This window comes from Homo sapiens, chromosome 17 (assembly GCF_000001405.40).
Source record: "Homo sapiens chromosome 17, GRCh38.p14 Primary Assembly".
Classification (NCBI taxonomy): Eukaryota; Metazoa; Chordata; class Mammalia; order Primates; family Hominidae; genus Homo; species Homo sapiens.
This window is the reverse complement of record NC_000017.11, coordinates 45,672,253-45,697,389: the sequence shown is the minus strand read 5'-3', so window position 1 is coordinate 45,697,389 and position 25,137 is coordinate 45,672,253. Positions and strand designations below refer to the sequence as shown.

The 25,137-nt window shown below is 46.8% G+C and overlaps 1 protein-coding gene across 2 annotated transcripts in view; it reads right to left on the bottom strand.

Moving 5' to 3' along the window:
• Positions 1-25,137, bottom strand: part of LINC02210-CRHR1 (LINC02210-CRHR1 readthrough) — a 215,483-nt gene that overhangs the window by 138,439 nt on the left and 51,907 nt on the right. Inside the window, exon 3 of one of the 2 annotated variants that reach the window (NM_001303016.1) lies at positions 24,488-24,563. The exons of the other annotated variant lie outside the window; for it this stretch is intronic. The gene's annotated coding sequence lies outside the window, so the exon portion shown is untranslated. The remainder of the gene's footprint in view (positions 1-24,487; positions 24,564-25,137) is intronic. 2 annotated transcript variants of the gene reach the window in all.

Below are 25,137 nucleotides of genomic sequence, written 5' to 3'. Positions count from 1 at the left end.
ATAAGGAGCAGTATTTGGAGCCAGCTTCCAGTACATTTTTGTGAAAGGCTCCTAGCATATGTCCTTTAGCCCTTTCTTCTTTGTTCCTTCCTCCTTTCACATGCCTGGAATGCAGATGTAATGGCTGGAGGTCAAGCAGCCATTTTGGCCTATGAGATGTCTTTGTTGAATGGGAGTTACATGCAAGGATAATGGAGCAAAGGAGAAGGACCCTGGGTTCCTGACACTGTGGGGATGCTCTCCACGTTCTGGACTGCATACCTCCACTTCAAATGACAGCATCCCTTTCCCTCCCCTCCCCTCCCCCCCTCCCCTCCCTCCCTCTCTCTCTCCCTCTCTCTCTTTCTTTTTTGAGACAGAGTCTCACTCTGTCACCCAGGCTGGAGTGCAGTGGCACAATTATAAGCTCACTGTGGCCTTGAACTCCTGGATTCAGGCCATCTTCCTGCCTCAGCCTACTGAGTAGCTGGGACCACAGGTGTGCACTACCATGCCTGGCTATTTTTAAAATTTTTAAAAATAGTGACAAGGTCTCACTTTATTGCCCAGGCTAAGAGTTATATTTTTGTCTTGGTTAGACCATTTTTACTTTGGGCTTCCTGTAGGAAGCAGCCAAACCCAATTCTAATGGGTACACTGCCTAAATCACTCACAGGCTAACACAGGTGAGAGTACCTGGCATAGGGAGTCCTATATGACAGTGTGTCAATCTCTTTTCTCTCTTAACACCTCTGACATCATAGCTTTATACAGTCTTTATATTGTGAGTCAACTATTCATAGGCATGTGTAACCTCAACTCTCTAAATATAGTTCCTATTATGTAGTGCTTTTCAAAATGACTTTACTCCTGAGCTTATTTAATCAGGCAAAGGATGCTTTATTTTCCCCATTTACAGATGTGGCTCTGCAGGCTCTTCAGGGACTGAAGTAGGCTTGGTATCCAAGTCTTCTGGCTCTAGGTCTGCTGCTGTTTCCCCTACATTACACCCACAGCAGCTACAGCAAAGCTTCTTCATTCATTTATCTTTGTGTTCTTTCTATTGCAACTGGTATGAAGCTATGTGTACAGTAGGTGTTCAATAGATACATTATATAATGCTCCAGAAAGTTAAGCAATTCATCCAAGTTAGTTTCCAAAAGATATCTAGACCAGGGGTTGGCCAATTATGGCCATCAGGCAAATCTGACCCATAGTCTGTTTTCTGTATAGCCCTCCAGCTAAGAATTTAATTTTTTTTTGCATTTTTAAATGCTTCTGGAAGAAGAGGAAAGAGAAGGAAATGAGGAAGGGGAAGGAGGAAGACACAAATGTGTGATGGGGACCATAGGTGTCCTGCAAAGCCTACAATTATCTGGCTCTTTATAGAAAAATGTGCTGCCCTGGTCTAGACCATCATCATGCAGCTGAATGTTTGATGTACCAGCAGAATCTTGACCAGTTGCTATCCCCTGAGAGACGCAATGACCTAGAGCGCTTGGTGATCCTGCTGCAGACAGCCTGTGGGTTTAATTTCCACTCCTTTTGTCCCAGAACCCCCAGGAGGGGCCTCCCTCACTCTACCTTCTTGAAGAGAGATGGGTATACATTTTCCATCTTCACTTCCACCTCCTTCCTAAGACTTGGAAGACTTTCTGATTCACTGGTCAAATAGTCAAGCTCAATTTGATCAAAAATTCATTGGGGTTTTTTTTTTTCCTGTAAAAAGGAATAAATGAGTACACACCAGTGGCTCAGACTGTAAACTGAAGCGTGAAAACCCCAAACAGGCTGAAACCATTACAGGAAAAACCATTAGCTCCAAAGCATTTCTATTTCCAAAAATACCAGCCTTCCAGAGGGAAAGCTGAGCCTGGTTCCTATTTCCAGCACCCCTGACGGCACGTTCCCTCATAAGCATCCCTTGGTTACTCACTCAGTAGACGTTCGAGTGGTTAAGAGAATAGGATTTAAAGTCTGATTGAATGTTACCAACTGTATTCCTTGGCGAAAGCACTTAATATCTCTGAGCCTCAGTTTCCTGTCTATAAAATAAGAATATTAACAATGTACCTTGCAGGGTATGCAAAGCGCTCAGCACAGATCCTGCCCCTCAGAGAGGCCTGCTAAATGGAAGCTGTATATTTGTATAATTACACAGATTAGCCCTTGTTCTTTCTCCCCTCCTCCTTCTGACTCCTTTATTTTTCCCTCTTAATTGCTCCTCAGTTTCTTGCTAAACCCCATCCCTGAAAGCAGTTCCAACCTACCTCTCTAACGTGGTCCTCTTCTTCCTGGCCATGGCCCTCAGCATTGGCACCAAATCTTTCTGAAACTGGCTCAGGCCATCGCCCTTCAACTCTCCAGCCGGGGGTCCCTTGCCATTCTTCTTTTTCACTTCTCCTCCCAGGTCAGCTTTCTGCACTTTTCTGGCACCGTGTAAATCTAGAGTCTAAAATTTCATCTTTCATTTGATGAGACACATTAAAAGCAATCAGTCCATTTTTGAGAGTGGGCTCTGTGCCGTCCTTAATCTACTTACAGCTCCTGAGCTCGGCACACAGTAGGCGTTCAATGGACTTTGGCCGGCAGACTGGCTGGGAGAGTGAACAGTGACCAGGTGGTCAGCTTCAGGTGGGCAGACCATGGCCCGGTCCTGTAACCGATGTGAATCCTAAAAACCACTTTGGACTCAGGGACTGGGCCAGGCACAGACAAAAATCATTCAGCTGGAGGGCTGCCTGATGTAAGAGGAAAACAAGAAAATGGATGTTGAAGTGAGATGTGTCTGGTTTGAATTCTGGCTTTGCCCCTGGCTATCTGAGTGTACTTGGCCAAGTTGCTTTGCCTCTTGAGCCTTAATTTCCTCATCTATAAGGAGTGAACCTACAATGACATACCAATTCACACCCAATAGGACGGCTGTAATCAAAAGGACAGATACAGGTTGAGTACCCCTTACATGAAATGTTGGGACCAAAAATTTTCAGATTTTGGAAAATTTGCATATATATAAAGAGATATCTTGGGGATGGGACCCAAGTTTAAACATGAAATTTATTTATGTTTCATACACACCTAATACAAATAGTCTGAAGGTGATTTTCCACAGTATTTTAAATAATCTTGTGCATAAAACAAGGTTTTGATGGTGTTTTGACTGCAGGCGGTCACATGGGAGTTTCCCACTGATGGCATCATGTCAACACTCAAAAAGTTTCAGATTTTAGAGCATTTGGGATTTGGGATTTTTGGATTAGGGGTGCTCAACCTGTAATAAGTACTGGCAAGAACATGGAAAAAACAGGAATGCTTATGCCCTTTTTTTGAGATTATAAATGGTGCAGCCACCATGGAAATCAATCTGGTGATTCCTCAAAAGTTTAAACATAGAGTTACCTTATGACTCAGCAATTCCACTCCTAGGTTTATACCCAAGACAAATGAAAATGTACATCCATATAAAAACTTGTATGTGAATGTTCATAGCAGCATTATCCATAATAGCCAAAAAGTTTAAAGAACCCAAATGTCCATCAACAGATGCATGGATAAACAAAATGTCATATGTCCATACAACAGAATATTACTTAACCATAAAAAGGAATAAAGTACTAAAAAGAAAAGGAACAAAAATACCGACACATGGTACGACATGTATGAACCTTGAAAACACTGTGCTGAGTGAAGGAATCCAGACACAAATGTCCACATATTGCATGAATCCATTTGTATATGAAATGTCCAGAGTGGGCAAATCCATAGAGACAGAGAAGACATTCGTGGTTGTCAAGGGCTGGAAGGAGGGGGAAATGGGAGTGATTAAAATGTTCTTTTTAGGGGGTGATGAAATGTTCTAAAATTGGCTAGAGGAGACGGCTGCACAACTCCGTGAATATACTATAAGCCATTGAATTGTATACTTCAAAAGGATGAATTTTATGGTATGTAAATTTTATCTCCAAAAAGCTGTTATTTTTGTAAATGGGTGGGCAAGGCCTCCCCACCCACTTCCTGGGGTCATTGTAAGACTCTAAGGAAGGCATGTGTGCCAGGTTTTGAACGCCACATTATACTCTTAGAAGGCTGGGATATGGGCCGGGTGTGGTGGCTCATGCCTGTAATCCCAGCACTTTGGGAGGCCGAGGCGGGTGGGTCACTTGAGGTCAGGAGTTTGAGACTAGCCTGGACAACATGGTGAAATCCTATCTGTACTAAAAATACAAAAATTAGCCAGGCATGGTGGTGCACGTCTGTAGTCCCAGCTACTCAAGAGGCTGAGGTGAGAGAATCACTTGAACCTGGGAGGCAGAAGTTGCAGTGAGCCGAGTTCATGCCACTGCACTCCAGCCTGGGAGACAGAGTGAGTCCCTGTCTCAAAAAAAAAATAAATAAATATATAAAAACAAAACAAAAAACCAGAAGACTGGGGTATGGCATCTGCCACAGACGGAGCTGTTTTCTGCTCTTCCCTCTTTTCTGCCCTGGCTCAGGCCTCCCTCTGGGAGAGACTTGCTGAGGAGTGGCACGGCCATCTGGTAGTGGCAAAAGGATGTTCTGGGCCTCCAATATGTCCATCCCAGGGCTGGGGAGGCAAGAAGTGTTTCCTCTCCGAGCCAAAGACTGGGAGGGGCCTGACACTGCCAGGGACACTCCCTTGTTCGTCCCAACACTGCTCCTCCACTCAGAGCACCTCAGGGTCCATCTTCCTCCTGGAGAAGGGCTCAGGCAATTAAACTTCAGGTTTTGGAGGAACTAGAGGCAAGCTGAGGGGAGCAGAGGAGGGCCATGGATGACAGACCACATTTTTAATAAAGGAGACTTCAGCTTTGTCAAACTCTTTGCAAGCCTCAAATGCTAAAATAATGATGATGGTGATGACTTATATTTATGAGTGAGTGTTTACTATCTGCCAGGCTCCATGCTAAGCATTTATATGTTTGACTTAATTTAATTTTCCCAAATATCTTGTGAGGTAGGGACTTGTTAACCCCATATTATGGATGAAAAGTTTGAGGCACAGAGATTTCAAGTGACTGGCCCAAGGTTGCACAGCTAGAAATGACAGGACCAAGATTTGCACCCTGGCAGCCTGGCACTACAACCTGTGTACTTAACTGCTCTGCTGGACCAAGTCAACCCTACAGGCTACACACAATGGAAGGCCAAGTTTATTACCAGGACTGTTCAATCACTCCCCACCAACCACAAGGAAATGGGTCTCAAACTTCACAGAGCATCAGAATCAGCTGGGTGGCGGGGCATGTGAAAAAAACAGAATAGGGTCCTGGGCCCACCCCAGGGATAGCAAGTCACTAAGCCTGGGGGGTTCAGGAATCTGCATTTATGACCAGCAACCCCAGGCGACCCTGCTGCAGGCTGTTCAGGACATATTTGAAGAGACTTGGCCTCCTAGCATCAAGACCCAACTTATGGGCCTGGCTGGATCTGCCCCTTGGAGTAAACACTTTCTGCTGTAAGCCACACCACACTCACCCCGCAACCTCAAGTCCATCCCATCTTTAAAGGCCCTGGTCAAGTTCCATGGAGCCCCCTAGGCCCTCCACAGGAAAAGTAGCCCACCCTGGCTTCCCCTTTTCTAAATACCTAAACCCATGTAGAGGAACCTGCACTGCTTCAGAACTCATTACAAACTGCCCGTTATTCTTACATCAGCGTCCCGTGGCTACAGGCCTTTTCTGATGAACTAGATCACAAAAGCCTTAAACAGAGATGCTTTCTTTCTTATTCCTTGTGTCTCCCACACATCATTCAATAGACTGGTGGATTTGCTTTTGGACCTAATGCACCAACACTCCTGTTTCAACGATCAACATGGCTCGTGTGCAACTGGCCAGTTCATTATCTACCCACCCACGGGCAGAGTCCAAGCATCCGGATTCTTCTTCTACAGAATCCAGGTGCTTCCTCTATGCCATCCACTGTTCTAACACTGAGACTCCAGAGGCCACACTGTCTCTGAGGCTGACACCCCCAACAACTGCTCTCACTTGGTGTCTTTGGGTGTGATTTGAGGGATATCTGGCAACGGCTGGAGATTGTTTTGGTAGTTGCGACCAGGGGAGTGGGGCTGCTGGCATCCAGTGGGCAGAGGAGAGGGATGCTGCTAAAGCTGCAGTGCACAGGACAGCCCCTCCCTGCCCTCCAACAAAGCAGTATCTGGCCCAAAATAACAGGGCAAGGTTGAGAAATCTTGCTCTAATGAAATATGCTAAGACCTACGGCAGAGGTAGCAAGACAGGAAGCCAAATGAAGGAACGATTAACCCCCAGGGAGGAGGAGGGTTGGGAAAAAATTCCCAGAGGAGATGCTTAATACAATGAATTGATTGATGAACGATGGGTGGGAAGGGTTTCCCACAGCAGAGGCAGGGGAGGAAAGAGGAGTTTCTGGCAGCGAGGTGCGAGAGCGCTTGGCAGGTTTGGGAAGCTTTTACTGGGTATGATGCGGCTGGAGGGCCTGGCACTCCTTCTTTTCATTCATTCTACACATCCGCTGTCATCTTATTTTCATTACTTATTTGCTGAGCAAACCTTGTCACCAAGCAGCATGGAATGGTCAGCTCTGGCCCTGGCTGGATCATCCTCGATTCTGAATCTGTGGTCTCTGCAAAGGCGGGATGGGGTTGAGCAAAAGGCACCCATAGAGCTGCACAGAGAGGTGTGACCACGTGAAAACACAACAGCACTGTGAAAACACAACAGTACTTTAAGGTTTTCAGCGGCATCATCTGAAAAGGTTACAGCACGAGGTGTGAGATCTCCTTGCCGGGAACTGTTAACGAGGAGTTCTCTGGGTGGCAAATGAGGAGAATGGATTTTTAAGAATGCCTGAGCTTCTCAAAGTTGGACAGGAATGCAAACACATTAAAAAGTAATGCTGGGAAAACATAATTCTGATAATGTTTGCTTCTTTAAAAACAAAAACAAGCCTCGATTGTGGTGTTGGTTGTTTTTAAATAGCTGTATTGCTTGCTGAGCCCATCTTCGCCTGTCTCCCTCCCATGTCCCTCTCTGTGTCTGCTTCTCTTCCTCTAGCCTCCCCATCTCCGTCTCTCTCCTATCAAGTGGCTGGGCTGTGATGTGTGCATGCTTCTCTTTGTCTGTATTTTTGTGTTGCTTTGCCTGCGACTGTCATTCATGCCCTCTCTTTTACGGAGTTTTGATTTTTTTTTCCTTCTTTCTAGTCACCTGTTTCTGGCTGCTTCTCTCCCCCTGTCCTACTTCTTGAGCCCCTTCCTCCTCCTTCCCCTTCAGCCTCTCTCCAAGAACCGGCCACAGCATACAACTAAAGAGCATTTGTATTACTAGTTGTATTTACTGGAGAGAGTTACATGCTCCCCATTCTTGATTTTTAAAAGCAAATGACAGAGGCATTTTCTATTTTTCTCTCCCAAAAGCTCCCTGAATGAAGCTGCATTTTACTTTCATCTTCCTCCATTGAATTATTTTTTCATTCTGTAGGTCATTCTCTTGATAGGAAAAAAGATAAGTTCTCTACTAGAATTTTACAGTAATTTACAGAATAGGTGGCCCATGTGATGTGCGATGTGCCACGGAGCGGGGATCAGGGGGAGGCTGCAGCGTGGCTCTGGGCTGGGGGTGCCCCAGGGCTCCACATTGAGGGCTTTTCATGTTGAATTTGATTTCAGTGGAGCCAAGACCTGCTTTGGGTTTAACAGATGCAGCTCTGGAGAAATATCTACAGATGCCTAATTCATCACCGTGGATTCCCTCGCCTTCAATGCAGGCTGTAGTGGCTGAAGAGAGACAGAAAATGATTGAAGATGAGTGTCAGGGAGCAAATCTTTTATATCTTAAAAGGAGAGAGATTTTCAGCCTGGCAGGAACATTAAAGTGGCTCCAGGAAACCTGGTACTTTACTGTCTTTTCTATGCAGGATACATTTTAGCTTGGTTAGCAGCTCCAGCTTTCTGACTTCTGGCTGGAGTTGACTCTCCGTCTTTTTGCCCTGGTCCCTATCAGAGGTCCTGAACTGGGAGCTCACAGAGGAAAGGTCCAATGGAACATTAGTCCAGTTATTTCTAAGATCTCCTCTTCCAGAAAGCTTTCCTGGACTAACCCCCAAAACTGATTTGGGAGGGAGGATTGGTTCTCTGCCACTCCTGGCCCCTGCCTGGGGACATTATAAAGTCATAGGACATGGATCATCAGGGCTGGAAGGGTCCAATCAAATTGCCTTCATCTGATAGAGGAGCAAATGAGTCTCAGAGGGTGGGCATGATTTACTAAAAGCACAGGTGGCAGATGTCCCCAGTCCCCTGCCAGGCCTGGCCACACATCTATTAAAGGTGATGCTACCTGGCCGGGGTCTGTGGGCTAGATCTCCAGCCCTTCTGACAGCTCCAGGATCCGGGGCACATGGCCAGCCTGGCACATAGATCGGTCCATATGGCAGCCCTTGGGGACCATCCCAAAGCACATGTGACATCCACCCCGAGAGAGCTCTCAGATGACCTCCTGAGGGAAGGAAAAGTGAGGCGCTGAAGCAATTACACCGGCGTCCACATTTGATCTCATTCAATTCAATACCACTTACTGATCAACTAGTATAAGCCAGACCCTTTGCTAGAACCTGGAGTATAGCATGAAGTATTGCGCCCTAGGGTATAATGCTGTGGTGTGTGGGGGTTGATAAAAGGTCAGAGATCCAGCCCTCCCTCCCAACTCAGCCTGGGGCGATAGCCCAGGAAAGGTTCCTGGAGGAGGTGATGTCACTAGAAATAACTGGACTAATATTCCTTCAGGCCTTTCCGCTATGAGTTCCCAGTCCAGGGCCTCTGACGAATACTGTGAGAACAAAAGCCATTCTGCTACATTGGGAATTCAGACCAAAGCACTTCTCGTTTCCATCACAGCCTCAACACTCACCAGCTGTGTGACTATATGCATGTCACGTGACCCCGGAGTCTCTGGAGCCTGGGTTGAGTATTCAGCGAGATGTGATCTGCAAACGCGTTTTGCACATTTCAAAGTGCTCCAACATTGTGGGCTGTTACAGCCCCCAGAACTCCGTTTAAATCCCCTGACCTTGGAGTGCAGTGAAATCAAAGCCGTCCCCACTCCTTTGAGGCTACAACAAAGAAGCAAACAAGGGGCCTGAAAATCTCTGTGCTCAGGCTTGACCTGGAGCCTGTCTGGGCCTCAGTTTCCTCACCTGTGGAATGAGAGTGTTGGCTTCTTTCTCTGAGCTCTGCCCCTCTCTGCAGCCCTGTAAGTTTAGGACAGCAGCCAAGAGTCTGAGGCTAGGTCCTTGAAGGTCCACACTGTAGTGCATGGGTGCCACCTTTGCCTGGCTGAGCTCACCCCAGGCAGGGACTTGGCCTTAGAGGCCAAGCCCAGGCCCTTGTGCAACCTCTCACCCAGCCTCCCACCTCAAGCTAACCCCTGACTCTGACACTCTGGAGTGGCCATCAGCAGGGGAGAGGACCCAGCTCTATACAAGAACCAAGATGCTGGAAATGAGCTCCATCCCCAAAAAGAGGGAGTTAAGGAAAAAAAAAAAAATCTGCCATTTTCCTCAAAATAAAAACAGAGGCAGATGGCTGGGAGGGTTTCCATGGTTAATTAAATATGCTTTAGTCTCTAAGTTAATTATGAAATGAGTCCTGCAGGGGGATGCTCTGCTTTGTACGGAGCAGGTTCAGGTGAGTAGTTGGGATCTGTCTGGGGAGGCTCAGGGGCCCCTTTTCCATCTCTCCCCAGCAGGAATAAAAATTGTGTGGTCTAGGCCTTTAGGAGGCCTTAGCGGCAGGAAATGCTACCCACTCAGGGTAACAGGAGCCACTCCGCCTTTCTGAGCATCCATAGGAGACAGGTAACACCCAGCAGAATTGAGACTCCACAATTTCCCTTCTTGGAATCTCTTCTAAGGAAATTATCAGAAACCCAGATAAAGATTTCCTGGACAAGAATATTCACTGCAGCATCATTTATAATCATGAAAAATAAGAAACCTCCTAGAAGCCTGCAAATAGAGAACTGGCTAAATAAATCCTGGTACAACCAGACAATGAAATATTATGTAGTCATTAAAACGGTGTTTTTGAAGAGTAGACGATGACATGGAAGAATGTTCTGGTTGTTTAAGGTGAAAAAAGCAAGATGAAAAATTGTAGATAAAGTACCATGTAATTTTATAAATTGCTGTGCACAGAAAAAGGAGTGGCATATTAAATGCTAATAATGGTTATTTCTGAGAGGTAACATCTTGGGAGATTTTATTTCTATGTACCTTTTTGTATTTTCTTAATTATTTGCAATGAGCATGTATTACTCTCGCAATCAGCAAAATGATTTTTCAAAATGCCAGCACCTCTTACAATGGATTTCCAAGTGGGCTTGAACAATTTTATTGCACCTTCTTTGAAATAAATAAATTTTACTAAGGTCTGAGCTTCCAAGATTGATGAAAGTGGGCAAGTTTTTTTCTCTCTTTTTTTTTTTTTTTTTTTTTTTTGAGATGGAGTCTTGCTGTCACCCAGACTGGAGTGCAGTGGTATGATCTCAGCTCACTGCAACTTTCGCCTCCCGGGTTCTAGCAATTCTCCGGCCTCAGCCTCCTGAGTAGCTGGGATTTCAGGTGTGTGCCGCCATGCCCAGCTAATTTTTGTATTCTTAGTAGAGACAGGGTTTCACCATGTTGGTCAGGCTGGTCTCAAACTCCTGACCTCGTGAGCCTCTCACCTCGGCAGCCTCTCACCTCGGCCTCCCAAAGTGCTGGGATTATAGGCATGAGCCATCATGCCCAGCCTGGTTTATTTTCTAGAATTCTCCACTTAAGGTGCTTTCAAAGGGAAGTGTTGCATATGTTAACTGGCCATTCCCACTGTGGAACATGATCTGCTGTCATCTCTGACAATGGCACAGGAGAAAGGAGATAGGTGTGAGTTCCTGGAACCACCTAATCTGAAAACTGCATGAGAACTTGAGGCTCACGAGAGCTGCAAGGATAGAGCTGAGGCCCCCGGAAGCAGGAGGAACCCTTGTGGTTTGGAGAAGCACACAGCACGATGACAAAGTCAATGGTGAAATTTCAGTTCTGGCCAGGACCACAAGACTGGACTCTCCTTGGTCTCTGGGACTTCCTTAGAGTCGCCAAAATCATGCAGGGACAGTGGCAGCCAGGCTGACTGTAGAAGCTTAGAAGGCCATGTTGGCCTCACATGCCTAGTGGCATGAAAAGATTAGGGGATAGAAATAGAAGAAACATTCAGAAATGTTTCTATGGTTCAATGCCACTCGGACATAACCACTGGCACCATTCCCTATCAATTCAGCAAACCCCCATCACCAAAAGAACTCACATCCCAGGATTAAATAGGGCGGACCATTACTAAGAGAGGGGAAGGAAGGAATTTGATGTTTTGTCTTATGAAGTTCTATCTGGTGATGGCATCCCCCACTCCGCCCGCCGCAGGAGCCCTTGTGTATACATAGCCATCTCGTCAACATGTGAAGGCCTCGGGTGGCATCAGGGCTCTCTTGATGTTTCGGTGCCAGACATACTGCTCAGGCTTACACGCGTCTTCCCCAGCTTCCAGAATGTAGCCATCAAAGAAGGGAGCATACCAAGACTGCATAAACCCTAACTGTCAGGAAAGTAAAGAACTCCACCTCTAGCTATCTAAACCCCAATCGCAAAAGGACACAATGAAATGTGGTGAAAAAGAACTGAAGGCCAGGTGCGGGGGCTCACGCCTGTAATCCTAACACTTTGGGAGGCCAAAGCAGGAGGACTGCTTGATCCCAGGAGATGGAGACCAACCTGGACAACATAGAGGGACCCTGTCTCCACAAAAATGAAAATAAAAATAAATTAGCTGGGCCTGGTGGCTCATGCCTGCAGTCCCAAGTACTTGGGAGACTGAGGCTAGAGGATCATTTGAGTCTGTGAGATTACAGCTGCAATAAGCCATGACTGCACCATTGCACTCCAGCCTAGGCAACAAAACAAACCTGTCTTCAAAAAACGAAAAGAAAAGAAAAAAGAAATGGAGACATTAGTGAGTGTTATCAGCTATAATGTGAGACACTCTCTAGGAGAATAAAAGGGGGAGGGATCAGGCCACACTGAGGAGGTAGCCTGGAGTATCTGTTGCTCCTTGTAAACTTAGGCAGTCTGCCGTAAATTTCACCGTATTTCCAGAAGCTGGAAACCATCATTCTCGGCAAACTATCGTAAGGACAAAAAAACCAAACACCGCATGTTCTCACTCACAGGTGGGAATTGAACAATGAGAACACACGGACCAGGAAGGGGAACATCACACACCGGGGACTGTTGTGGGGTAGGGGGAGTGGGGAGGGATAGCATTAGGAGATATACCTAATGCTAAATGACGAGTTAATGGGTGCAGCACACCAACGTGGCACATGTATACATGTGTAACAAACCTGCACGTTGTGCACATGTACCCTAGAACTTAAAGTATAATAATAATAAAATTTAAAAAAAAAGAAAGAAAAGAAAACACATACATTAGCTAAATTCTGAGGCCCAAGACGAACCTTGGTGCATCATTATATAAAACTAATAAAAGTGGAAACTTGTGTTTAAAAAAAAAAGAAAAAAGAAAAGAAGCTCCCCTTGAAGCTTCAGCTACAGGAAGGAACAGCAATTACTAAAAGTGCTTTCAAATCTCTCTCACCATAATCCCAGCATGACAAAGACCTGGCCCTATCCACCAAAACTTTTCAAAGCTCTCCATTTTCCTTTAGAAGACCGTCTTAGTTTTATAATGGAATTTTTAAAAAAATGTGACTCACACTATGAATAGTTTCTTTATAGCCAGCTCTCTTGGAATGGGTCTGTTATCAAAGTGAAGACTATCTGTCTCCTACTTCATGGTAACAAATTGCTCTTCCAACAAGATCATTGACATGAACCCAGACATACGTCCCAGCCTCAAGGATTTTTGGCTTTTGAACCATCACCACTGTTATAGGTTTGGACTTTGACATTCCTAAATTGATTTTTCTTCACCAAATCTGGACTTTTTCACATCCACTGGCAAATATGTTGGGATGTCATGAGGTGACATAAACTACCAGCCAGCAGCCCCATTTTTGAAGTATCTCTATTCCACTTGGCTCATATTGTATAGCCTGTTGATGCAATTGTTTGAATATGTTGTTGTGTTTATTGATAGTAAAAATGAGCAAAAATGGAAAATTTAAAGTATAGGTACTAGGTAATAAACAAGAAAGGGTCTCAAAAAGTTAATATAATTAAAATTAAAATGAGGCCAGGCACAGTGGCTCATGCCTGTAATCCCAGCACTTTGGGATGCTGAGGCGGGAGGATCACCTCAGGTCAGGAGTTTTGAGACCAGCCGGGCCAACATGGCAAAATTTGGCTTTTACTAAAAAATGCAAAAATTAACTGGGCATGGTGGCACACCTGTGGCCTCAGTTACTTGGGAGGCCGAGGCAGGAGATTCTCTTGAACCTGAGAGGCAGAGGCTGCAGTGAGCTGAGATCGTGCCACTGCACTCCAGCCTGGCCAATACAGCAAGACTGTCTCAAAAAATTAATTAATTAATTAATTAAAAATAAAAATAAAAAATGAAAGTTGTTTTCATTTTAGCCCAGTGTTCATTTAACTCAAGTTGGTTGACTGGATTCATGTGTGAGGGGTAAAATAGTTGTTCTTTTTTAGGGTCTCACTGTCACCCAGGCTGGAGTGATGTGACATGATCATGGCCTACGCAGCCTTGACCTCCTGGGTTCCAGTGATCTTCTACCTCAGCCTCCCAAGTAGCTGGGACTTACAGGCTTGTGCCACCACACCTGGCTAACTTTTTACTTTTTTTTTTTGTAGAGATGGCGGTCTCACTATTTTGCCCAGGCTGGTCTCAAACTTCTGGGCTCAAGCAATCCTCCCACCTCAGCCTCCCAAAGTGCTGAGATTACAGGCTTGAGCTACTGCACTCAGCCAGAAAATAAGGCCTTAGAAATAAATTATAAGTGATCAATGTTCTTAGAAGCAAAATATAATTAGGGAGTTGTCATTATTTTTAGCTGAGTATAGAATCCACCTTAAAACATAAAATAATAATTATTAACATATTCAGTGCATACGACCCTGTTCTGAGCGCTTTATATATATATTACTTAATTTGCACAAGAACCCTATAAGGTGGTTTCTATAATCATTCCGTCTTTCAGAAAACTGAGGCACAGAGAGGTCTCAGCCACACACCTAGGAAGTGGCAGATTTATGCCCGTGTAGGTAGGTCACTGTCCACATTCTTAACCGCCAGGCTCTCCTCCTTCTTGCATAGTGTAAGATTATTATCTAACTTTGATACATTTATATTCTTAGACATTTTCAGGAACTTATTATATGTGAAAAAAAAATGGCTGGGTGCAGTGGCTCATGCCTGTAATCCCAGCACTTTGGGAGGCCGAGGCGGGCACATCGCAAGGTCAGGAGTTCGAGACCAGTGTGGCCAACATGGTGAAACCCCGTCTCTACTAAAAATACAAAAAATTAGCAGGGCGTGGTGGTGGGTACCTGTAATCCCAGCTACTCGGGAGGCTGAGACAGGAGAATTACTTGAACCCGGGAGGAGGAGGTTGCAATGAGCTGAGATTGCGCCACTGCACTCCAGCCTGGGTGACAGAGCGAGACTCCATCTAAAATAATAATAAGAAGAAGACAAAGTTGTACTGGGATAGGACAGTCTTTGGGGAAGCCATTTCTCTTTGCTGCTTAGCTTTTGTGAACATGCTGTGGTCAGCTTTCAGACCTCAGGTTAAAGACGGATTGAGGAGGAATTTAGGTGAGATCAAGATAGAAGTCATCTTGCCATGATCAGAGTCATTAGCTTGTGAACAACCCTATTTATACTTAAGGTTAGGAGGCTGAGTTCTGTTCTGGGAAACACACTAAAACTCCTGCACAAGGCAGAAGCCCTCGTGTTTGAAACAAAAGAAAACATCTTTGGAAAGGGGCTGCTCAGATGCAAGATGTTTGCATGGGATGGAGATTTACCTGTCACTGGGAACATTGTCAGTAGCCTGGAGTGTAGCTGTAACCCGACACTGATCCATTTGGATGCAGGGAAACTGAGGTCAGCCTAGGAGGAGAAGGATAGAGGATGTACCCACTGTGCCGATCTGATCTCAGATCTCCCTGAAGCAGGTTAGGTGTTAGAATTTCAAAGTGAAGAGGCGAGTGCTTCATCAGGATGGATGCTGACAGCCCTTAAGCTTGGAAACCAGATTTGCTGGGAGTAAACATCCAGGTGGGCCTAGACTGGAAAGCTGGTACCAAGTTAGTTAGACCATTTTATGGTTCGCAAAGCCTTTGAAAAGCGGCAAACACTCCAGAAAAAAATAAAAAAGTATTTGTGCATACAGCTGTAGATTTAAGACAGGCAATGCATCTCCTACCCTCAAACAAATCCATACCCCTCCCCAGGTTAAGAGCGCCTGCAGAGCGTGAGGGTATTTGGGATGTGAGCCATGAGCCGGGAAGGCTAAAAGGGCCGAGCAACATGGGTCACATGATCCGTCCTCTGGTTCAATGCCAGGTCCGGAAGGTTACAAAAGGTCTCCGCACCAGGCTATGCCTGTCAGAACCCCTCACAAGCTGTTCTCATTCACACTCACAGCATCTCTGTGAGAGGCATGGGGTGGCAACCTCATTCCTCCCATGGCCATTCAGGAAAAGGGAGAGCCAGATGCCTTGTCCATCTGTCCATCCTGGGGCCTGCCCTCCCTGCCTGTCCCCACACCTTGCCCCTCAGGCTGGGCAGACACCCCATCCATCTGCCTTTCCTCTACTTCTAGTGTGGGAGGTGGGTGGAGGGGAGTCAGGGTGTCTACAGATGGGGTTTCAGTTTGAGGAGGCCTGGGGACCCAAAATTCAAACCACTTAGGAAGAGGCTGCTGTGAAAAGGGATGGTGCGGTGTAGGGCCCAGGAAAGAGCTTGGAGGGCCCTGAATAGCAGGATGAGGGGCCAGGTTCCTCACAAACAGGACCAAAGAGCCTGTGGAGGTTCTTCAGGGAGAGGGTGGAGCAGGATGAGGGTGGAGTTGCAGGAGGCTCCAGGCAGCCCCTCGACTGTCCTGCAAGCACAGGCTAATGGAGGCTGTTGGCCATGGCTATGGTAGAAGCTGTGGTTGGGAGAGAGGTGGCAGGGGAGTGTCCCATCAAAGCATGGAGCTGTGGAGAGGGAGGCATCCCAGAGTGGGCTCTGCCCCCACCTGCAGAAGGGGGTGTGGAGGAAGGGCTTCAGATGCCAAGTGCAATGCCCCAGGCCCCGGGAGAGGGGCAGGATCTTCTGATGCCGCTGAGCAGTAGCTTCCCGAGGCTGCCCCAGGTGCTTGTGTCCAGCCCTGTGCACTCCTGATCTGACTCTCCCAGGAAGGTGCCTCCTGCTGAGCTCTGGGTGACAAGATGGAGTCAACATGCATTACCCCAAGCACGTTTCTTTTTCTGTTTTTTTTTTTTTTTTTTTTTTGAGACAGGGTCTCGCTCTGTTACCCGGGCTGAAGTGTAGTGGCATGATTATGGTTCATAGTAGCCTCAATCTCTTTAAGTCAAGCAATCCTCCTGCCTCAGCCTCCCAAGTAGCCGGGACCATAGGCATGGCACTATGTGCAGCTTTTTTTTTTTTTTTTTTTTTTTTAGTAGAGACAAGGACCCCCATGTTGCCCAGGCTGGTCTTGAACTCCTGGCCTCAAGCAATCCTCCCTCCTCAGCTTCCCAAAAACCTAGGATTACAGGCATGAGCCACTGCACCTGACCTTGAGCACATGTTTCTTGGACAAGTGCCAGCTGTTGGCATCTGTGTGGCTACAGAGCAGGAATCAGGACGGAGGTGAAGAGAGGGGCAAGGCCAAGGGCAGGGGTGATGTTGGTGTCATTGCAAACAGACCTGGGCACACATGTCTGTGAGGGAGAATCAGGAGATGGTATTGCTGAAGGAAGCTACACGTTTGCACAGGAGCTCTTAAAGCCAAGCTGTCACATCCTCATCCTTGGCTCACTAGATCTTTAGCAGACAGAGCTGACCTACCCTGGGGCACCCTACAGGGCAAAGGCTATGAGAGCAGGGTTCACACACCTTACTTAGAGAATCCAGGGCCAGAGAGCACCAGGTTCAACCTTCTCATCAATATGCATGCAGTCGGCTCAAGTTCTATGCAAGCCCCAAAAGCGGTGGGTCTTGCCCAAAAATCACTGAGATCATCAAGACAGCATCAAGAGTGGGAAAGTATGGACCAGAGCAGACAGACTGGGCTCAAATCCTGGCTGTGCCACCGATGAGCTCGGCAACCTTGGTCACATGACCTGACCTATCTGAGCCCCAGTTTCCTGACATGGACAACAGGGGTAATAGCACTAACAGTAAATGGAAGGACACACATCCAAGCACTGCACTCCATCCTGACAAATGCTGGTTCTCTGTCCAGGTCTTTGGGTACCACGCCTGCCTCAGTCCTCTCACCTACCCACTCAGCTTGTCGATGAAGGCTGTGGCTCCTGACTTGTGTATTAGTTTCCCATCATTGCATTTAAAAAATGACCCACAACTTAGTAGCTTAAAACAACAAACGTTTGGTATCTCACAGCTTCTGTGAATCAGAGATTCAGCAGCAGCTTGGCTGGGTGGTTCTGGCTTAGGGTCTCTAATGAGGTTGCAGACAAAACATTGGCCTGGGCTGCAGTTCTCCGAAGGCTTGACTGGGGATGGTGGTTCGGCTTCCAAGATGGCTTATTCCCACAGCTCTTGGCAAAAGGCCTCGTTTCTTTGCTAGCTATTGGCAGGAGGCTTCAGTTTCTCACCATCTCTCCACTGGGTTGCTTGAGTATCCTCACAACATGGCAGCTGGCTTTCCCTTGCAGTGAGTAATCCAGGAAAGAGAAGGAAGCCATGGTGCCTTTCATGACCTAGTCTCAGAAGTCACATATTCTTGTTTCTACTTTCTGCATTAGAAGGAAGTCACTGAGTCCACCCACACTCAAGGAGAGGAAAATTAGGCTCTGCCACTTCAGGAAGGAGGCTCAACGAATTTTTAGACATATTATGAAACCATCACAACTTGAAACAAATGTCCTCTCCAGTGACTTTTGGCTTTTCTTACATAGAACAGAAACAAATGGGCTAGGGACCCTTGGCAAATGGGGAGCCCTGAGTGTTGGCGTGTCTGGCTGAAGTGAGGCTAAGATAGCCATAGATCTGAGGACACTGCCAAGGTCTCCATGATCCTCAGCGAACAGCCCCTGGAGGATAAGGCAGGACTGGCCAGGGGCAAGGGTGGGCGGGGTGGGGGATGCAGGCACACCACACCATCCTGCAGCCCCATTCTAATGGCCTGAGTTGGGCTTGGAGGGGAATGAGCCGCCAAACCCACAAGACTCATCCAAGAGGCGGGGGGCAATTGTAACAATTTGGGGCACAGCTAAGACAGTCAGTCGGGGTTTGAACCTTAAGTGGGGGAGAATCCTGGCACCCATTGGGAGGTCTCTGTGTGCCAGTATTTCCCATTATCCCAGATGATGAGAGTCACCTGCAGTGCTTGTTAAAGGGCCCCAGCTCTTTTTTGTTTTTTTGAGATGGAGTGTCACTCTGTCACCCAGGCTGGAGTGCAGTGGTGCAATCTCGGCTCACTGCAACCTCTGCCTCCCAGGTTCAACCTCCCGAGTAGCTGGGATTACAGGCGCCCACCACCACGCCCAGCTAATTTTTGTATTTTTAGTAGAGATGGGGTTTCACCATGTTGGCCATGCTGGTCTTCAACTCCTGATCTCAGGTGATCCACCTGCCTCAGCCTCCCAAAGTGCTGAGATTACAGGCATTAGCCACTGCATCTGGTAAAGGGCCCCAGCTCTAACCGACTGCTTCCTAATTTTTTACAGCAGCGGACAGGTGATCCAGAAAGTTAGCAAGTGCCCTGGGATTCTTATGCTCATTTGATAGGAGAAATGATCTGATAGGAAAAAGGACATTTGGGAAGTATCATAGGGCTAACGGGAAGGAGGACAAGCCAGTGAGAACCACAGCTGGCTTCTGTGATCTGTAAAATGGGAACAACCAGGACTACCTTGATTGCCTAAAAGCAAAAGCCTTGAACAAATGGCTTCTTGGGGTTCCTTTCAGCTTTGGACCAGAGCAGAGAAATGAGGAAGATTTTAGCAACTGGAATTTTAGCCCCAGGAAACTCCCTTAGGGAAAGAGATGGCAGTTAAGGCAGAGGAAGCAGGTATCCCCATCTTTCCCCTAGGTGCTGAGACACATCTGAGGAGTTGGTGTCTTGGGGCCCTCTAGAGCCCCCCGGGGCTGCCTACCCACTCAGTAGCCTTGGCAGAAGAAAATGTGTCAGCTGGGCTTGGCAGCTCTCCCAGCACCAGCCCAAGATGCTCTGAACAGAAATAAAATCTGCCTTCTCACTCCAGAGGATGGGCTCTCCTGCTCCCTATGAGTCAGCCCCACACGTGCAAACCCAGAATAAGCTGGGTGGACAGATGGAGGGAAGAAGGGAGGGGAACCTGATGCAGGCTGTGGGGCAAGCTGGCAAATCCAAGGGCTTTGCTGGCAGGGAGATCTGGGTTCGAGTCCTGCCTCTACCACCTCCTGGCTCTGTGATCTTGAGCAAGTTGCATGGCCCCAGTTTCTTCATCTGTAAAATGGGAATAAAAATACCACCACGGGCCCAGGCGCAGTGGCTCACGCCTGTAATTCCTGCACTTTGGGAGGCCAAGGAGGGTGGATCACCTGAGGTCGGGAGTTCGAGACCAGCCTGACCAACACAGAGAACCCTCGTCTCTGCTAAAAAAAAAAAAAAAAATTAGCCAGGCGTGGTGGCGCATGTCTGTAATCTCAGCTATTTGGAAGGCTGAGGCAAGAGAATCGCTTGAACCCGGGAGGCAAAGGTAGTGGTGAGCCAAGATTGCACCATTGCACTCCAGCCTGGGCAACAAGAGCAAAACTCCGTCTCAAAAAAAAAAAAAAAAAAAAAAAAAAAAAAGGCCACCATTGCAGTTATGAAGAGAAGACAGCAGAGCTTAGCTCTGGAGCCAAACTTCCTGAATTGACTCCTGGCTCAACCACTTACCACCTGTGTAACCATGTGCAGGTCACCTAACTTCTTAAAGCCTCAGCTCCCCATCTGTAAAATGGAGGTAATTACAGTGCCTACCCTCCGGGTTGCCGTGAGGATTTAATGCATTAATTCATATAAAGCATTTAGAATACTAAAGGATCTGAGCACCTGATAATCTTGGTATTCATGGGGGTCCTGGAACAAATCTCCCACAGATACTGGGGGACAACTGTACTACCAGGCACACTGTCAACGCTAAGTGCTCACTGTATAAAGGAAGGCTTGGCAGCACCCAGGGACTGCTCTTTGTCACCCTATAGCATTCCCTTCCCTCCAGAAGGCTGTGCACCTACCAGGTGCTGGATGGAGCTGGGGAGGAAAAGGCGGGGAAGGGAACTGGCCTTCACTGAATCTTGGTGACATGCCACTGTGCCAGGTGCTTCTACATCCAAGTCCTCCTCCTGCTCTCTCCCCTCCCTCCTTCCTCTCCTGGTTTGTTTCCATTCCACACTCCTTCACCCGCACAGGTCATCCCCCCAACCCCGTATTGCAACACTCCTAACCAGAGATCGGTTAGTCGACAAACTTGAACTGAGGTCCTCCCTAATCACAAAGCCCCATAGAGAGTTTCTAGGAAGGAGCCAGGGTGCCAGGGGGTTGGGGGATAAGACAAAGGAAAAAACCAAAACCCAGATCTCAGGGAGCACTGGGTGCCCCACCTTGGAGAAGCAGGTGTGGTTGGAAGCCAGGTGGCAAGCCAGCTTTAACCACACCAGTGATAACGCCGCTCTAGGCCAGTGCTTTGCAATACTCTGGAATCAGCAGGCAGCTTTAAAAGTTCTGGTTCCACCCCTAGAGAGTCCAAGGTAATGGCCCTGAGATATGGCCCAGGCATTAGGAGTTTTTAAAACTCTCCAGGTGATGCTCAGATGCAGCCAGGGCTGAGAGGTAGGACCCCATAACAGTGATGATGCTTAAACCGCAGCATGCATACGAATCACCTGGAGGACTTGTTAAAACACACATCACTGGGTCTCAACCCCAGAGTTTCTAATTCAGTAGGGCCTTGGCACTCACCGCAAAAGCTGTACTTCTGTTTCCAAATGACCCTGATACTGCTAGTTCCCTGGGAGTATACTTTGAGAACCACCCTCCTAGGATGGTGATCAACAAACTACAGCCCTTGAACCAAAAATCCAGCCTGTTTTGTAAATAAAGTTTTATTAAAACACAGCCATGCCCACTGATTTACATATTGTCTATGTCTACTGTCACAATACAAGAGTTGAGTAGTCAGGACAGAGACCACGTGCCTTGCATGGTCTAAAATACAATCGAGCTCTTTACAGAAAAAGATTGCTGACCCCAATTCCAGAAACCTGTGAAGCCACAGATAGCAGGATCCTGAGTCCCTGAGTGACTGCCTGGAGCAGAGCTTTCCTACTGACCTGGAGATGTTTTATGAGGAAGAAATAACTGTCAACATTCTTTAAAGCAGTGTATTTTGAGGCCTCTTTATTACATGGCTCAGCCTCTGCTACATTCCTAATCCTGGCTCCAGCATATCCTGGCTATCCTTATAACCTCTTGAGCCTCAGTTTGCCCATGTGAAAAATGTGAATAATATTGACCCTATGGGTTATTGGAAGGATTAAATAAAATATAAAACCCTGGCAATAGATCTTAGTTTTCTTATTGCTGCTCCCTTTGAGGGTGGGGGAAGGAAATCATTTCTGTTCCCCAAGAAGTCCCAGTTGGCTGGGGGAAAGCAGGTGACCATCTTTGTCACCCTACAGCATTCACTTCTGACCCTATGACATGTCACAATCTGACATGCCAGAGAAAGTTGCTAAACCTCTAGATGCTTGTTTTGCTCCTAAGCCAAAACACACTTCGTTTCCCCACTCCCATCCCCTGTTCCAAATTAATCCAGTTTTCTTTTATTTGGAGGCTGCCATAGCTGTTCACTTACACAAGTGTCCTTTTCAACTCCGTGAGCCAATCTTGGAGCTACTTTAAAATAACAGTTTCTCTAGGTGTGGAAGCCTCTGGCTGGGCTAGAGGGTGAGGCAACCGGCTTAAGTGGCCGCCCACGGCTGGGGAGGGAAGGAGCTAAAGGAGAGCACTCTAAACCAAGGTCAGTAATTATATGGTTTCTACTTGGCTCGCTTAGTGCCAGCTGTGGAGTGAGGTTGCCACTCGCCTCTACTGGTAGAGAGTGGGTCGCTTGGTTTAAAAGCATGTCTTCATCATCTGCTGAATGTCAAATACTGTGTTAAGGAGCTGGGGAGGAAGGCAGGGGAAGGGACACATAAGAAACAGACCTAGAAATGTCACCATCACCAGCACTTTACAGGAGGCAGCTAGAAAGAGGCCAAGAAGGCCAGGTGTGGTGGCTCATGCCTGTAATCCCAGCACTTTGGGAGGCCGAGGCGGGTTGATCACCTGAGGTCAGGAGTTCGAGACCAGCCTGGCCAACATGGTGAAGCCCTGTCTCTACTAAAAATACAAAAATTAGCTAGGCATGGTGGCGCGCACCTATAATCCCAGCTACTCGGGAGGCTGAGGCAGGAGAATCATTTGAACCCAGGAGGTGGAGTTGTAGTGAGCCAAGATTGTGCCACTGCACTCCAGCCTAGGTGACAGCGTAAGACTCCACCAAAAAAAAAAAAAAAAAAAAAAGAGAGAGAGAAAAAGAAGAGGAGAGGAGAGGAGAAAAGAGGCCAAGAAGCCACCAGGTCTAAAGGCTCAGGGGTGTCAGGGTCCCTGCATTAGAGCCCCTTCCACACCTGGCTGATCACCCAGTCACCTGGAGAGTTTATAAAATATGCAGGTTCCCAGGTCTACCCAGGCCCATAGAAGCAGATTCTCCACAGTTGTAAGCAAGCTCCTTGGGTGACTCTCATGGTGCCTGGCACTGGCCTTAGAATAGACTTTGAGGCAACACTACGTGAGATGTAATAAGAAGAAGGACTTTGACATTCACAGATCTGGGTTTAGATTCCAGGTCCAGGGCACAAAAAGGACCAAGCATAAAAGTAAAAATGGATAAGCTGTACTATATCAAGATAAAAAAAAACTCTGCTCTTCAAGACATACCATTAAGAAAATGAAGAAGGCTATAGGCTGATAGAAACTATCTGCAAAAACTAGAGATACCATTTGACCCAGCAATCCCATTACTGGGTATATACACAAAGATTATAAATCATGCTACTATAAAGACACATGCACACGTATGTTTATTGTGACACTATACACAATAGCAAATACTTGGAACCAACCCAAATGTCCATCAATGATAGACTGGATTAAGAAAATGTGGCACATATACACCATGGAATACTATGCAGCCATAAAAAAGGATGAATTCATGTCCTTTGTAGGGACATGGATGAAGTTGGAAACCATCATTCTCAGCAAACTATCGCGAGGACAGAAAACCAAACACAGCTTGTTCTCACTCATAGGTGGGAACTGAACAATGAGAACACTTGGACACAGGGTGGGGAACATCACACACCGGGGCCTGTCATGGGGTCGGGGGAGGGGGGATGGATAGCATTAGGAGATATATCTAATGTAAATGACGAGTTAATGGGTGCAGCACACCAACATGGCACATGTATACGTACATAACAAACCTGCACATTGTGCACATGTACCCTAGAACTTAAAGTATAATTTAAAAAAATATAAAAAAAAGAAACTATCTGCAAAACGTATATCTGATAAAGGACTAGTATCCAGAAAATTAAAAAAAAAACGCTCTCAAAACTCAATAGCAAGCCAATAAACAACCAGTAAACAACCAATTTTTTTAATGGACAAAAAATTTGAACAAGTATGAACTAAACAAGATGGCAAATAAGGACATAGAAGATGCCCAACAATATTAGACATTAGGAAAATACAAATTAAAGCTACAAGATACCACCTAACACCTATGAGAACGGCTTAAATCAAACCCCGGGTCTACTGATTACTATCTGTAAAACCTCAGGCAAAGTACTTGACCACCCTGTGCCTCAGTTTACACAGTTGTAAGACAGGGATAATGCCTACTCCGTGGGGTTGTCAAAAATTTTTAAAGTAATGTATCAAGAGTGTGCATCACTAGGTGCCTTCGGTTTCCATCTTTCCTTTGCCCCACCTTTTCTCCTATACAAGGGACCTGAATCATTTACTCAAGTTTTTTTACTCTGCAATACTTCACCATCTAAAGCCTAATTATCTTGTTTCTATTTCATAGGAAAAGAGACTGTTGAAGGTAGGCCCAGTGATGGCAGGGAGGAAGAACAGCAAAAGATATCCACAATGTACCCACTCTCTCGTTCGCTCCTTTCTTCATTCATTCATTCATTCACTCATTCACTCATTCATTCACTCATTCATTCATCATGACGTACCTGATGCCTTCAGACACTGCACTAGGATCATAGAGATGAAGGAGCCCCAGTCCTTTCCCTCAGGGACCCCTCGTTCCTGAGGGAAGACAGAAACATCCTCTTAGCCTGGTCTCTCTCAGTTGAGTAACAGACCCAGTTCACCCCAGCTCCAGGAAAGTTAGACCTCATGTGGCTGGGAAAGCTGGGACTCATAGACCCAAGGAAGCAACCAGAGCCTCAGGTGCTCAAAACCCCAAGACGCTCCCCTAGTCTCTCACGCCTGCTTGTCTCTTCTTTCGCAGGGGTCTCACCCTCTCTCGCACATCCCAGATCCCGCCGCCTCCACGTGCTGGGCACCACCTGCAGCCTACGCAGTGCCTACACGTGAGCAGCTCGTGTTTGCCCAGGGGAGGATTCTGATTGGCCCTGCTTGGGGACACACTCTATCTTTTGGCCAATCACCTTCACGGGGATGGCAGTCACGTGCGATCTGAGCGTGCAGCTCCCAGGAAGCAGGGCCAGAGACAACTTGGATGCAGGTGGTTAACCGGGGAGGCAACCATGTGAAGCAATCAGGGGGTGAGGAGGGTTAATGAGGTGGTTCTTAAGTGGGCCTGAAGCGGTGTGGAGTACACATCAGAATCGACTCCCTGAAGGCCGGGAGGCTGAAG